Consider the following 16000-nt stretch of genomic DNA (forward strand, 5'->3'; position numbering starts at 1 on the left):
GGCCACGGACCCATAACCAAAATCATCTAGGAAATTAGGCCATTATACTGAAAGTTTTGGGGGCCTTGGAAATATGTTTCTGCTGGGTTATGTATGACTGATTTTTATTGGTAGGGAAGTTGGAGGAGCTATCCACAGTCATCTCGAAGAAGGACCAATGTAATGAAAACTCATTTTAAAAGCTGAAATTATATATTTTATATATATACACACACATACATATGTGTATATATAAATATATATTATATCAAATATAAAAATATATAATATATAATACTATTGGTATAGTGTTATATATTCTATAAGACTATATTATAGAATATATAAAATATATAATAAGTATCATTAACATAATATAAATAATTTCAGCTTTTAAAAGCCTCAGTAAAATGAGTTTCCATTACATTGGTCTTTCTATGAGGTAATTGTGGATAACTTCTTCAACTTCTCCACCAATAAAAACTAGTACTGAAAGGATTACATATATATATATATTATATATACAGATATATATGTATGCGTTTGTGTATGTGTATTCACTTTAAAATGTTTCCCTTGTATCTACTTGACATGCACATTCAACAGGCATTTGTGTTGCACTTGTAACTGGATTAGCAGTGGCAGTAATATCCTTATTACCATCTATCTTTTAAAATCCACTTGTCTTTTCTCATGATTCTTTAGAAATCACCTGTCGCAAGCCAGATGTTTCACATGGGGAAATGGTCTCTGGATTTGGACCCATCTATAATTACAAAGACACTATTGTGTTTAAGTGCCAAAAAGGTTTTGTTCTCAGAGGCAGCAGTGTAATTCATTGTGATGCTGATAGCAAATGGAATCCTTCTCCTCCTGCTTGTGAGCCCAGTAAGTATGGACTGTGACAGAATTTCAATGTTTGGCATCTAAAGGTACCCCGTACTGTTAATACGGGTATACTTGCATGCATAGGCCTACTATGAATTACAGTAAAAATTTACATCTAGATCAATAATTTCCTTTATTTTTTTCTTGTTGGAAAGAAGAATGATTTTAGTGCACTCTGCAAGGTCATATATTGTCACACAAAACTGCCACATACCACAAGACTGTGCACATTCCAACCTTAAAGGGAGGTGTTAACATTGTAGATACTATGGATTTGTATATTTATTTCAATAATTTTATGGAATTTGATAGAAAATTGTCTTATTCTAACAAAATCATTATATTATTATAATTACTTTGAAAGACAAATAATAAATTGTCCTGAGGAAAAATGCCTTTTATAACTTGTACAAAAGTATTGTGTGAACTGGTTATGATTCCAACACTCTGAAGTTATAAACTCGTGGATTATTAAAAATAATGACAATAGTAATAATGATAACTTGGCACTAGACTAGGTGCATAACAAGGATTAACTCAACAAATCCTCCCAACAATTGTGGGCACTATGATTATCCTTATGTTACAGATGAGAAACTGTTCACAGAGGTTAAAAGACTTGCTCAAGGTTATACAACTGGTAAGAGAAGGAAGCCACTGATGCCTTGTGCTCTAAGTTTTGCCCTCACGAAATGTCAAGAACTTCTGGGGATTTCTGGAGCAGTGGTGGAGGAGTTTGGGGAAACCTCTCTCCTGAAGAGGTATCCACCAAGCTGGTCAAAATTAGCAAAGAAAACCATTCAAAGTCTCTGGAGAGTGATCAAAGGGATTACAACAAACCGAGAAGCATTTATTCAGCAAAAATATGGAGACTTGATAGGAACAGTGGGAGGACATTGCATTAGAACTAGGGGCTGCAACAGCTCTACCTTGCGGGAGGATGTTTTCTGTGGGCTCATCCCACAAGTGGCAATTCCCATCTTCTCCAGCTCCCTGGGGTAAAAAAGTTATTTGGGGTGGATTTGGCAGCCAGTGAAAATTACATGACAGTATTTTTCAAAGATCCATGCTGTGGAAGTCGAATATTGAATCGGTGCCAGCAAACATGCATCAGTGTCTGTTCCTTCACCCCCAACTCCGATTATATGGGGAGGATCTAAGTGGGGCAGCTGGTAAGAAGTCAGTCCCCCCTTTTTCATGGCTCTATGTTGCACGAGAACTATTCCAGTTGGCTCAGCAGCCAAGTGGCATCTCCCATCTTCCCCAGCTTCCTAGAATGGAAGAACTATTATGGGTAGGTTGACAGCTATGAATATTGGCAGTTATTATTCTCCCCAGCTCTGCGCTGTGGAATATGTGTACTTGGTGGTGGGCGCAGCTGGGTGGCAGTGCCAGTTCCTACTTCCCCCTTTTCTCTTCTCACAGCTCCTACACCATAAGAAGAACTCTAGTGCAGTGCCTGGGAAAGAATGAGTTTTCTAATTTCCCCCAGCTCCTGATCTATAGGACAGACATTCTTCCAGGGCAGATTTGGAGCAAGCTTCAAAGACTGTAAACACTCTGCCCCTTTCAAGGAACTTTAATTGGATTAGACTGTGAAGCATATTATGCCCCAGGGAGTTGCTGAAAAAAGTAGAACAATCAGATAAAGATTGCTGGAGGCCAATGGTTGTATGTAATACCAACAGAGGTAGACCACCCAAAGTCTCAATGAGAAAGAGACAGTCAAAGAGAAAACCACAGTTATCTCTGGCAGTTAAAAAGACTGTGTACATGCCCAAGTCTGTGCTGTCTGAGGCATGCTGTTAGATGTTGCACACTTTGAAGGAAACAGACTTAACTGAACTAGTCCAATTATGTCACTAAACAAACAAGAAAATGAGGAAACAACAACAGATCCCAAAGGTGGTAAGGGAGAATCAATATCCAAAGTTGCTGCAATGTATTATCTAACATGTTCTGTTTTCAAAAAAAAAATTGTCAGATGTGCAAAGAAACAGGAAAGAGTGACCCATGTAAAGGGAAAAAGCCAACAATAGAAACTGTTTTTGAGGGAGCCCAGAGAATGGACTTAGCAGGAAAGTTCAAAGAATCACAAAGCAGCTATTATAAATATGTCCCAAGAACTAAAGGAAACAATATTTAAAGAATTAAGTAAATGTATTATGACAGTTTTATCAAATAGAAAATATTGATAAAGATAGAAATTATTTTAAAAAGAAATGGAAATTCTAGAGTTGAAAAACACAGTAAGTAAAATGAAAAATTCAAAAGAGGAACTCAACAGTAGATTTGAGTTGGAAAAAGAATCAGTGAATTTGAAGATAAATTGAGATTATGCAATTTGAAGCACAGAGATGAAAAGAATGAGGAAAAATAAATGGCATCAGAGAAATGTGGGACACCATTAAGTGTACCAACATATGTATAATGAGAGTCCCAGAAAGATGAGAGAAAGAGAAAGGAGATAAAAACCTATACAAAGGAAAAATGGCTGAAAATATCACAAATTTGACCAAAAAAAAAAAAAACCCAAACAAAAGAACAAAACAACACATTAATCTACATATCCAAGAAGCTTGTTGAACTCAAGTAGGATATTGCAAAAAGGTCTAGACCTTGAGACATTATAATCAAAATGTTGAAAACCAAGAATGAAGAGAAAATCTTGAAAGCAGCAAGAGAAGAGCAACGCATCATGTACAATGTAACCCCAGTAAGATTAACATCTGATTCCTTATCAGAAAGAATGGAGGCTAGAAAGCAGCTAGATGACACATTCAAAGTGCAGAAAGATAAAAACCTCAACCAAGAATCCAACAACATATTTTGCACTTACATATATTACAAACTGCACAATAAATTTTTATAATTATTGTTTTATATAATTTCATGTTTCATGTCTTTTATAGTAGCTGAGAGAAGAAAGGAGGGCAAGTATATATTTAGAGAGTTTATTATGTTAATCTTCTTATTCTTCATTTCTGGCGCTCTTTATTTCTTCCTGTAGATTCAAGTTACCATCTGGTGTCATTTCTGTACTATAATACAGCTTTGTTCCCTCCTACCTTTCTTGTGATGTTATTGTCAAATATATTGCATTTCTGTATGTTATAGGCTTAATAATGCAATTATATACATATTGTTTTATGCAATTGCTGTTTAAATCAGCTAAGAGAAGGAAGGAGTAGTAATATATATTATACTGTGGTTCAAATTACTGACATAATGACCTCTGCTGATGCTCATTGTTTTACTGTGTGGATTCAAATTACCGTCTGGTGTCAATTGCTTTCAGTCTGAACAATTTCCTTTAGCATTTCTTGTAAGGATAGCCTTCTAGTAACAATCAGATACCACTTCACATCCAGCAGAATGGCTGTAATAAAAAAGATAGACAATAACAAATGTTGGTGAGGATGTGGAAAAATTAGAACTCTCATACACTGCTAATAGGAATGTAAATTGGTGCAACCATTTTGGAAAAGAGTTTTTGCAGTCCTGCTGAAGTTTAACCATGGAGTTACCATATGACTCTAATTACCCTCCTGGGTATCTACCCAAGATAAATGAAAACATATGTCCACACACAAAAATTTTACATGAAGATTCATAGCAGCATTATTCATAATAGCCAAACAACCCAAATGCCCATCAAATGAATAATGAATAAACAAAAAGTGGTTTATCCATAAAATAGATTATATCATTTGGCAATAAAAATGAAAAATAAAAAGTACTAATGTATGCTACAACATGGATGAACCTTGAAAATATTATGCTAACTGAAATAAGCCAGTCACAAAAAGTACATGTATTGTGTGATTCCATTTATTTAAAATGCTCAGATTAGGCAAATCCATAAAGAAAAAAATAGATTAGTGGTTGTCAGGACCTAGGGGGAGGTGGAAATAGGGAGTGACTGATAATGAATATGAGGTTTCTTCTTGGGTTGATAAAAATATTCTGAAATTAGTTAATGGTGATGGTTGCACAACTCTGTATATACTAAAAACCATTGAATTGCACATTCTAAATGGGTGAATTTATTTGTTGTGACTTTAATCTGAATAATGCTGTTAAAAAAGAACTTTTATATTCCATTTCAATAATCATCCAACGTGGTAGATGTTTGCATTATATTTTCATATCATATGAATCAGTAGCATTGGGAAAGAGAGAAGAGGACAAGATCCAAGGCCCAGGCTCAAAAAATGTTTGGAGCTTGGTTTTTTTCTTGCCAAGTCATTCCTGGTATCATCTGGATGAGGGGAACGGCTCCTGTTTATTTTCCCCAATCAATCAGTAAACATAGTTAGATTTGTTTGTGACAGTTTTCCTGCCATGCTTCAGTTCAGAAACTAAAATCTCTGAAATGTAAAGAAGAGGAATGAGAATTAAAATTATTATACTTGGCACAGCACATGGAAACCACTTGGGAGTGCCCTTAGTGAAGAGCCTCTCTGGAGGTGTGCACATTTGAGCGAATGTCCATGTGTGTTTTCTGGTGTGGTTGATACATCAGGCCTTGCAGGCTGGTTCCAGGCTGAATGAACGTATGACCCCCTTTGATAGGACAGGCTTATTGACTGCTGTGGCAGCCCTAGTAATAGCGTCCTTTTGTTCTTCTTCTTCTTCTTTCATGAGTAGATAGTTGTATTAATTTACCAGACATTCCACATGCTTCCTGGGAAACATATCCTAGGCCGACAAAAGAGGATGTGTATGTTGTTGGGACTGTGTTAAGGTACCGCTGTCATCCTGGCTACAAACCCACTACAGATGAGCCTACGACTGTGATTTGTCAGAAAAATTTGAGATGGACCCCATACCAAGGATGTGAGGGTGAGTTTTTGTTTTTTAATATTTTTGTATATTAAATGTCCAGTATGTGCTAGGATTCTCTACCTTAAATGAATATAATTTTATCCCTCACAACAAGTTTAGAATTAAGTTAATTCAACAGATTAGTAAACTGTTAGTGCCAGAAGGGGACCATAAACATGTTACAGTTTGAGGCACTGAGAAATTGTAACCTTTCCTTATCCCAGTTCAGAATCAAATGAGAAGTAGACACAGAAGTCAAACATTATGCAGATTATGTATTAGTTTTCTTACTGGTAAAACTAGAATGGAGAATACAGCTCAACTATTGTCAGAGTCAGGCTTCCTTCATAGCCCTTACCTCCCCAGTATGGGCTTTGGGGTGTTTGGCAGAAGACAAGTTTGTGAAACAGTCATGAGCGTAACCAGCTGCAGGGTGACTTGTGTCTCATGTCTCTTGAACCATGAGATGGCAGGGCTTCCTGATCTGCCTCTAGAAGACAAATCCTGACTCGTGACTGAGCATTCTCACTTCGTAAGGATAGAAAGGAGACTTCCTCCAGTTTCTCTGGTAGGAGACGCACCTCTTTTATTTGTGGAAATGAGTGAGGGACTGAACGACAAGTGGATACTATATTATGAGCCTCAGTGGAACAGACAAGAGAGGAAGAAAATGCTTTCTTCTATCCATCTATCAGAACCTTGCCACTTTAGAGGTGAAGACACTGAGGCCAAGAATACAGGGAATTTTATGCTGCATATCAGAATTTCAACAATCTGTGAAATGCATAAATAATGAAAAGTGGTAGTTTAGATCAACCTGTCAGAAGATTACTTATTTCATATTAAGACTTAACAAAGTTTAATTGCAGTTATTCAGACTCATTTTGGGGAAATAGAATAAAAGATTTTAATAAAAGGACTGAATTAAAAATATACTTAATAAAACTTACCGCCATTACTTAAATAACAAAAAGTATTGCTTATAAATGTTTAAAAACCTCCTTTATAGTTGTATTTAGGCTAGGTGCGGTGGCTCCTACCTATAATCCCAGTACTTTGGGAGGCTGAGGCGGGAGGATTGCTTGAGCCCACGAGTTTGAGACCAGCCTGGGCAATAGAGTGAGACCCTTGTCTCTACAAATAATTTAAAAAATTAGCGGGATGTGGTGGCACACGTCTGTAATCCCAGCTACTCAGGACGCTGAGGTAGGAGGATAACTTGAGGCTAAGAGGCCAAAGCTGCAGTGAGCCGAGATCATGCCACTGCATTCCAGCCTGGATGACAGAGCAGGACCCAGTTGTTTACATTTATTTGATCCCCTATGATCTTATTGATTTAATTATTTAATAAAGAATATTTTTAACCATTTTAAAAGCAGAAGTGAAGTAGTATTTATCCAAGTTATGAAACCTGATCAAATGTGAATTTAGACTCATGACTTACATATTTAAAAGTATTTTCTGCACTGCAAAGCATTTCATAAATATTATTGTTGTTTTAATATCCAAACCATATGATTGCTGAATATTTTTATTATAATTCCTAAACAAATGAGCACTGGAAGTGTTTGAGTATGTCCAAAAGACCCCATTTTAATACTGGTCGAGTTACTGACATGGAGAATGTAATATTTTATTCTGTTTTGATGTTTTCTCTTACATCAGACAATAGCAAGTTTTTTCTTAAAGTATTTCTACTAATGAATAAAAAAATATGTCCCTATAGCAGCTCTTACTGTATTAAAAAATTAAAGAATTTGGCCAGATGTGGTGGCTCACATGTGTGACCCCAGCACTTTGGGAGGCCGAGGTGGGGGGCCACTTGAGGCCAGGAGTTTGAGATCAGCCTGGGTAACATAGTGAGACCCCTTGTCTACCAAAAAATTAAAAACTTAGTGGGTGTGGTGGCACACACCTGTAGTCCCAGCTACTCAGGAGGCTTAGGTGGGAGAATTGCTTGAGCCCAGGAGTTTGAGACTGTAGTGAGCCATAATTGTGCCCTGTACTCCAGCCTAAGTGATAAAGCAAGATCTTGCCATTTAAATGGCTATTTCTCTCAAATTTTGCATCAAAAAAGAAAAATCCTTGAAATAAGCAGTAATTTAAATTTTTTCGTATGCTTTAGCTCTTAGGTGGATATAAACTTTTGAAAACTTTCTTCTTCCTTGTGACTTGAGAAGTATAAGTTAATAGAGAGTTTAATAATGAAGCCATAAGTAAATGGATGTTGTTTGTCATTGCCCTTGAATAATTTTGAAAATTTACATTTTCATATTGGTTAAATTTTTTTAAATATTTTTTATTTTTTAGAGACAAGATCGCACTCTGTTGCCCAGGCTGGTCTCAAACTCCTGGGCTCAAGCAATCCTCCCATTTTGAACTCCCAAAGCACTGGGATTATAGGCATGAGCTACCACACCTGGCTCTTCATATAAGTTTAATCCAACTTTTCATTTTGGAGGCTCCTAATGAAATGCTTAGTTGGAAGGAAATAACTGGATTAGAGGACTTTAGCAAATAAGGGGGGAAAGAGCAGACTTGGAGTGTCTTGGGTCTCCCTTTCTGTTTCCCCAATCTCTCTTCAGTGGTGAGATCGTCCAAAGATGGAAATGAGGTTGTTAGCCATAGAAGCTTCCTCATGGTGATTTTACTAACCATGCACCTCACATTTTATTTTTCAGCGTTATGTTGCCCTGAACCAAAGCTAAATAATGGTGAAATCACTCAACACAGGAAAAGTCGTCCTGCCAATCACTGTGTTTATTTCTATGGAGATGAGATTTCATTTTCATGTCATGAGACCAGTAGGTTTTCAGCTATATGCCAAGGAGATGGCACGTGGAGTCCCCGAACACCATCATGTGGAGACAGTAAGAGTTCATAGAATTATCTTATTCTGGGAGTTTCTTCATATCAGTGTGATGGAGATTATTAAGAGAAGGTTTAAAATTAGGTAAAAAAATTCATATACCTTGCATGATTCTTGGAATGGGTCCAACTTTCTCCTTCTTCCTCATTGTGTGTTCCCTTTCTTTTGGCCTCTTCAGTTTCCTCTTTTCTGAATCAGTGAAAATAGACAACATGTAATAAATAAGCTGGACTTTTCAAGTTATGTGTTTTTGTTTCTTTGTATTATTCTCTTTCTTCCCTTATTTCTGGTCCATATGTCTCAATCTGCAGAAGAAGAACTGTCGAAATCTATTGAATCTGCCTTTCTGAACTTGTTTCCTTCTTCTTCCTCAAACAGCAGCCTTCTGTTACCTCTGAGCCCTCCAGTCAGACCATCACCCAGTGTAGAATGCCTCCTTCTGCTTCTCCAAAAGGCTCAAGTGGGCCAGGCATGGTGGCTCACACCTGTAATCCCAGCACTTTGGGAGGCTGAGGTGGGGAGATCACCTGAGGTCAGGAGTTCAAGACTAGCCTGGCCAATATGGCGAAACCTGGTCTCTGTTAAAAATACAAAAAATTAGCCAGGCATGGTGGCGTGGGCCTGTAGTCCCAGCTACTCAGGAGGCTGAGGCAGGAGAATCACTTGACCTCGGGAGGCGGAGGTTGCAGTGAGCCGAGATCACGCCACTGCATTCCAGCCTGGGCTACAGAGCGAGAATTTGTCCCAAAAAGAAAAAAAAAAGGCTCAAGTGTTAATGCATTCCACCCTCCTCCCTGTGCTTGATATCTCTATCTAGCAATGGTGAGGGCTCATTACCCCTATTAGGAGCCCAAAGTGATCAGGCATTAGTTGCAGCTTATCCATCAATAGGAAAATTCCTATCTCCCACTTGTAGAAATGTTCCCACTTTGCCAACCAGGTCTTTTAAACCTGCAGGTCCCAGAGCTTCAGAGATGTGAAGCACAAATTTCCCAAGTAGGTCACTTAGACTGGTAGCCAATGGGGCCACTCATGCTTCCATCCCCTGGTTCCTGGACCCATGCATTTATTTTACTGGGGACCCAGAGCCATATAAAAGTCGATATGATTCAAAATAAATACAGCATTTTGGAAGATAGTATCCCATCACTGTCAAGCATTGCCTCCCAGCTGGCACTTCAACTGTGCCTTTAATAGGCCATTCAGTGTTTTCACAGGTTGGCAGGTTCTGAATGATGCAGTATGTGATTTGAGTAGTGGATTCCATGAGCATGGTCCCAACAACACACCTTCTTTGCTGTGAGTGGGTTTTCTAGTTGGATGTAGTGGATCCTATGCCAATGCCAATTGTTCAGACACTCTATAACCCTTAAGATGACCGTGCTGACTGAGGTTCTGCAAGGAAGAAAGGCAAACCCATGCCTGCAATATTTGTCTAGTTCTATCAGAATACACTTCTCTTCCTTTCATGGTAGAAGAGGTCCAATGTAGTCAACTTGCTAGGAAGTGGCTTTTTGGTTGCCTCAAGTGATGGTATCATACTAGGGACTTAGCATTGTTGTTGGCACGTTGGAGATTCAGTGACAACAGTGAGCCTTGGTGAGTGGGAGCCCATGCTGTTGGGCCCATGCTTGTCTTCCATGCATGCCACCACAACCACTCTGCTCCTCTTCCTCTTGTGCCAGCACCCATGAGGCCAATAACAGAGAATGGCTTACTTCAACTGGCTGAGACTTTTTTACTTGGTTGTTTAATACCTTTTCTACTGGGGATGCTCTGGTGTTAACACACAAAATAAAGATCTTCACACTTCCTGCCCACTCTCATATGTCCACTTACCTGCTCCTACCCCAGATCTCTTTGTGCCCAATCTTCCAATCTTTCTTCTTACAGGACTAGGACCTTGACCAGACAAGCCATTCATTCCATGCCCTGAATCCTAATTTAGCCTATCCTTAGGCCACTTTCTTTGGGTGCACCATCTATAGCACTTTCTTTCAGGAAGATTACCCCTTACAAATTGTCTTTCAGGACTGACCTTGATTGGGCTGTAATGCAGCTTCCATTCATTTTAGCTTGTACACACCAAAGGAGTGAAGGGCATGCCATTTCAAAATATGCTGAATTGGTATGTTGAATATTTCAAGTGGAAAACATTAGAGGAATTGGAGTTTCAGAAAGGGCTAGCTGTCCTGTCTCTTTTTGCATGCACGAGCCATAAAGATTGCTCTGGGAACAGTACCCTCCCCCTACTAGAGCAAGAAAATCACCCTCATCACCAGAGACTGGGAATTAGGGGCTGCAGTGGACCTGAATACTAAACTTCCCAAAGTAGTTTTTATCTTCCACTAGTTTTACAGCCCCTCCCTATACATCTCTTAGTGACTCTCCTAGAAATTTATTGCTCCTAGCCAAATCCTCTTTGTCCTGTCATTTCTTCTTAAATTTATTGTTCTTTGTTTACAAAGTATAAAATATCTTGCTTTGGCCACTTCTTCAGACTTTACCCTCTTGGGAAGATCCCCATGTATGTATAAAATTTGTGTGCTTTTCCCTTGTTAATCTACCTAGTGTCAATTTGATTTCTAGATCCAGCCGAAGAGCCCACATAAGAGCTAAGGGGATTAGGGGTGGAGGTGATCTCTCACTTCTCTACAACACATACTGTGAACCCAAAATGTCTGAGACAGGTCTCAATCAATTTAGAAAATTTATGTTGCTAAGGTTAAGGACGCGCCTGCGACAGCCTCAGGAGGTCCTGATGACATGTGGCCAAGGTGGTCGGGGTACAGCTTGCTTTTATACATTTTAGGGAGACATAATACATGTAAGATTTATACTGGTTTGATCTGGAAGGGTGGGAGAACTCAAAGTGGTGTCGGGGAAGGAGGAGTGGGGCTGGGCTTCTGGATCATAGGTAGATTTTCTGATTGGTAATTGGTTGAATTATTATCAGAAGAAAGGAATATCTGGTTTATGATAAGGGGTTGTGGAGATATGTTTTGTTTTGTTTTGTTTTGTTTTGTTTTGTTTTGTTTTGTTTTGAGACAGAGTTTCTCCCTGTTGCCTAAGCTGGAGTGCAGTGGTGCGATCTCGGCTCACGGCAACCTCCACCTCCTGGGTTCAAGAGATTCTTGTGCCTCAGCCTCCCGAGTAGCTGGGATTACAGGCACATGCCACTGGGCCCAGCTAATTTTTGTATTTTTAGTAGAGACAGCGTTTCACCATGTTGGCCAGGCTGGTCTTGAACTCCTGACCTGAAGTGATCCGCCCACCTCGGCCTCCCGAAGTGCTGGGGTTACAGGCATGAACCACCGCACTGAGCCATAAATGTTTCTTATTAGATTTAAGATCTGTGTTGGTGTTAATGTTGGAGGGGTATAATGGGGAATGTCCAACCCTCTCTTCCAACATGGCCTGAACAAGATGTTCAGGTTAACTCTGGAATGCCTTGGCCGAGAGGAAGGGTCCATTCAGATGGTTGGGGGACCTTAGAATTTTATTTTTGGTTTACAATACCAAAAATATTTATCTGTGAACCACGTTCAGAGTTTTCCCCATCCGGACAGTTTGGTTATACTGGATAACTGGTATAGCCACAACTGTGAGCTAAAGAAGAGGCACTCCTGCCATAGTGGCTGGGCACAGGTAGGAATTGGGTTTTCTGTTTGTGCAGCTTGCCTGTGCCACCTTTTACTGCCCATGCTCAATCCCAGATGCTCTACTTCCATCTTATAATGAATGGTTGCCTGCTTATAACCTGATGGGTCTGACAGACTTGGCTTATGATGGGTGATTCTGGCTGCATGATCACTTGATGACCCAATGTTGGGAGCTTTCTCTATCAGGACCTGGTAGCATGCCAAGAGTTATATTTCAGAAAGCATACAGTCCTCTACTGCAGTGCATGGCCTTGCTTCAGGATCTCAAGGATCTATGGTGTAACTGTCCTGTTGACATTTACATCTTTTCCTACTACAACCACCTTCAAATACACTAGGTTCTGCTGGGTCCTAAGGCTCAAGCAACAGGATAATTTCACTGCAGACTAGACCTGCTGTTAAGCACTTTCCTAACATGGGCCCCGCTCAAACCTGGCAATCATTTGTCCCCCCTAGCCTATGGGTTGGAGCAGTAACCCCAGTATGAATTATGCTGCCTCTAGAATCTGAAAAGTCCTATTTAGGTGCTGTACTGCATTCTTCAGAGTGGGATGTGCAATTTGCAATAATTTGACTTTAGTTTGGATGGGATATCTTAGTGTTCCCTGAACCTTGGACCTCTGAAAATTGTATTGATGTGGCAAACACCTGACTCTATTTTTTATTGTATTTTTTTACTTTGGAGCATCATCATGCTAATACCTCTTGCTTATCTGGGGGAATTAACATGATGCCATTGATATATTGGATCAATGTCATGTTCTGTGGATATCCAGACGGTCAAGATATATTCAGACTCTATTATGACATGGGCAAGAGGGTTATCATAGCCCAAAACCTGCAAATGTACACTCCTCACACCTTCCATGTATATGCAAACTGTTTCTGCTAGGAAAGGAAAGAAGGGCCTCTGCTGAATCAGTGACCTCGTTTACTTGAAGCCACATTAATCTGCCCTAGCAAAGATACCACATCTGGTGCAATGGCTGCAATAGGAACTAAAATGTGGTGTCTTTTTTTCAGTGGTATACTGTAGTTCTTCAGAATCCTTCTAATTTTTGTAGTAGACAGATAAGAATTTAATGGAAATATCACAGGGATGACCACTCCCATGTCTTTAGCTATTTGAACGGCACTAATTTTCATGTTTCTCTCCCACCCCTGGGAGATATTGTGGTGGTGTTTTTTTCTTTAAATTTACTTTATTTGCCTTGGGGAGAGGGTGAGATGGGTGGACAGTAGCAATTGCTTTCACTTGGTCTTCCTGCATAAGATGGCTCTTACCCCGCAGGTCAAGAACCCAATATAGGGGCTGGGCCAACTACCAATTTTGTCTATTCTGACTATACGTTCAAGGATAAGGTAGATGACCACAAACTGGTCTAATAGGAGAGCTATAATGGTTCCAGGTATCAATGTCAACTCAAGCCCTGTGTGCAATAATTTTTGAATTATTGTACCTCTTTTATCAGTGCAGTTACCTACGTAAATAAACATAGGTCCTCTTGGAGGACTGGCAGATTCATTACTGTGCAAACCTTCCAAGATTTTGTAGCATCTTCACTCCTGGCAACTGGCTTCATCTTCAATTAATGATTACCAGGCTGGAAAACTGTCCTAGGTTTATATATTGGGCAAAGGATTGTGACTTTTTATTGGGCCAAATGCTGTTGGTCCCTTGATCATCCATCCTTAATTTCTTTTGATGGTACAAATAAAGTGTATATTGTTGTTGGCTGCTCATCTGTTTTCACCCCTAAGAATGCTATGGTTTAATCTTCATAACTCTCAGGCACCCCTGGTTGCCTCTCTGACCTTGCAATTCATTATAATGGTTGCATTTATTTAGCTTCTGAGGCATATGAGCAGCTTTCTGACTGCTATGGCTATCAGTGAACCTTTTTCATTAATGACCTTTTTTGTCATCAGCTCCAGCATTTGATGCTGGTTCTCCTCTTTTCAGGGAATTCCTTATAGCTTTGGTAAATATTGTTCCCTCTAGGACTTCCCATGTGGCATAACTACCTGGTGCGTTTTTCAGTGTACACAAATGTCCACTCCAGCATGCTCACTTCCCTGAGTCATTTAATCCCTTCTTATACCATCTGCCATGGCAATCCCAGCATTTCAGTCTGACTTATTGTGGGCCATCAGCTTTTCCATGCTTCCAGGAGCATCTTATTGTAGTACTTATAACTGCCATAGTCCACTGGTATAGTACTTTGTCCGACATTCCTGCTGCTCTGCTTTTTTTTTTTTTTTTAACTTTCTCATGCAGTGTTTGTGGACCTGATAGTGTTCCCTTTCAGAGAGGTGCTCTGCACCATGTCCTCTTGACTATTTCAATGTTCAAGTCACCATATTCATTTATCCAATGAGCTCTTTTCTATAGTTTTTTAAAATGCAATATTTTCTTCTTGGGCATGGATGGACAGTACTGATTGGGGAGCAATGACTCAGAGATTGTGGATGATATAACATCCTTACAGTTTCTCACAGATGCAAATCTCTGCATTTAGCCTGAAAGTGACTAAGTGTACTATGAGTATGATATGACCTAAGGCTGAATTCAACCTTCATGCCAAAATGGCTCCTAAACAATGGAAAGTTGAGTGAACTTGTCAATAAGATGAAGGAAAACCTAAGGGCTATATCTCGAGCCTTTCTATGGTTGCCCAGCTTGAGGCTTACAGGAGGAGAGCAGAAGTGTCTGGGTTTGGCTACGTGCTCTTACAGGCAGCGAGGATAGAAGGACAGAATGAAGCCTCCTACAAACTACATGTATTCTGCAATGTGCTACTTTATACACTTTACAAACTAATGCTCTCTCACTTTTTTGTCTCTCCCTCAAGTTTGCAATTTTCCTCCTAAAATTGCCCATGGGCATTATAAACAATCTAGTTCATACAGCTTTTTCAAAGAAGAGATTATATATGAATGTGATAAAGGCTACATTCTGGTCGGACAGGCGAAACTCTCCTGCAGTTATTCACACTGGTCAGCTCCAGCCCCTCAATGTAAAGGTAACTCCAGCTTCCTTTTCAGCTCAAGATTAAGTGGGTGGACGTGTCCTGAGAGCACTGAGAGCTAAGTTTCTTCCCTGTCAGAGGCAGCATGAAAACATTTGATTTGATTTATATTAAATAATCAATATATGCAAATGGTACCCAATGCAAAAACTACAAAGGGCACACACAAACATTAATCTCCTCCATTTCTTTCTCCCAATCACAAAATTCAGCCTTCTTGGGGCAGCCCATACCAGGTTTCTTGTATATTTCCAGAAATATTCTAAAAGTATCACATTTTATCTTAGTGTACCTGTGGCCTGTGGCAAAGTTTCCATAGAAACTTGCTCTAGTATGAATATAGGCTCCCCTGAGTGAATTCTAAATATCATGAGTGACAGTTATTTCCACCAGAGTCTCGTGCAGGGCATGCACCACCTGCTATGATATAGATGGTGTGTGTTGGTGTGAGGGGTCAGGGAGGGTGAAGGGGGACTCGTAGTTTGCAGCAGTTGTGGGGACAGGAGGAGTTGAGATCAGGTCTGATTTTTACATGAATAGAAGTTTGCTGTCAACATGCATGACTTTGCTGTCAAAAACTTCAGTATTTATTTGCCATCATTGTTTCTTTTGTACACAGGAGAATAATAGTCAAGAAGGAAATTTTTTTTATTATACTTTAAGTTCTGGATGACATGTACAGAACATGCAGTTTTGTTACAAAAGTATACATGTGCCCTGGTGGTTTGCTGCACCCATCAACCTGT

The 16000-nt window shown here is 39.5% G+C and overlaps 1 protein-coding gene and 1 long non-coding RNA gene across 10 annotated transcripts in view; one reads left to right on the forward strand and one right to left on the reverse strand.

Annotated features, from left to right (window-relative positions):
* Positions 1 to 16000, forward strand: part of C4BPA (complement component 4 binding protein alpha) — a 40740-nt gene that overhangs the window by 21796 nt on the left and 2944 nt on the right. For all 3 annotated transcript variants that reach the window (XM_005273252.5, XM_005273251.3, NM_000715.4), the window contains exons 7-10: positions 685 to 867; positions 5518 to 5712; positions 8376 to 8564; positions 15078 to 15248. In XM_005273252.5, coding sequence (XP_005273309.1) covers positions 685 to 867; positions 5518 to 5712; positions 8376 to 8564; positions 15078 to 15248 — 738 coding nt within the window. The remainder of the gene's footprint in view (positions 1 to 684; positions 868 to 5517; positions 5713 to 8375; positions 8565 to 15077; positions 15249 to 16000) is intronic.
* Positions 982 to 16000, reverse strand: part of LOC107985251 (uncharacterized) — a 195120-nt gene continuing 180101 nt past the window's right edge. For all 7 annotated transcript variants that reach the window (XR_007066838.1, XR_007066837.1, XR_007066840.1 and 4 more), the window contains 2 exons: positions 8666 to 8752; positions 982 to 4246 (listed from right to left, as the gene is read on the reverse strand). This is a non-coding gene — a long non-coding RNA (uncharacterized LOC107985251). The remainder of the gene's footprint in view (positions 4247 to 8665; positions 8753 to 16000) is intronic.

This window comes from Homo sapiens, chromosome 1 (assembly GCF_000001405.40).
Source record: "Homo sapiens chromosome 1, GRCh38.p14 Primary Assembly".
NCBI lineage: Eukaryota > Metazoa > Chordata > Mammalia > Primates > Hominidae > Homo > Homo sapiens.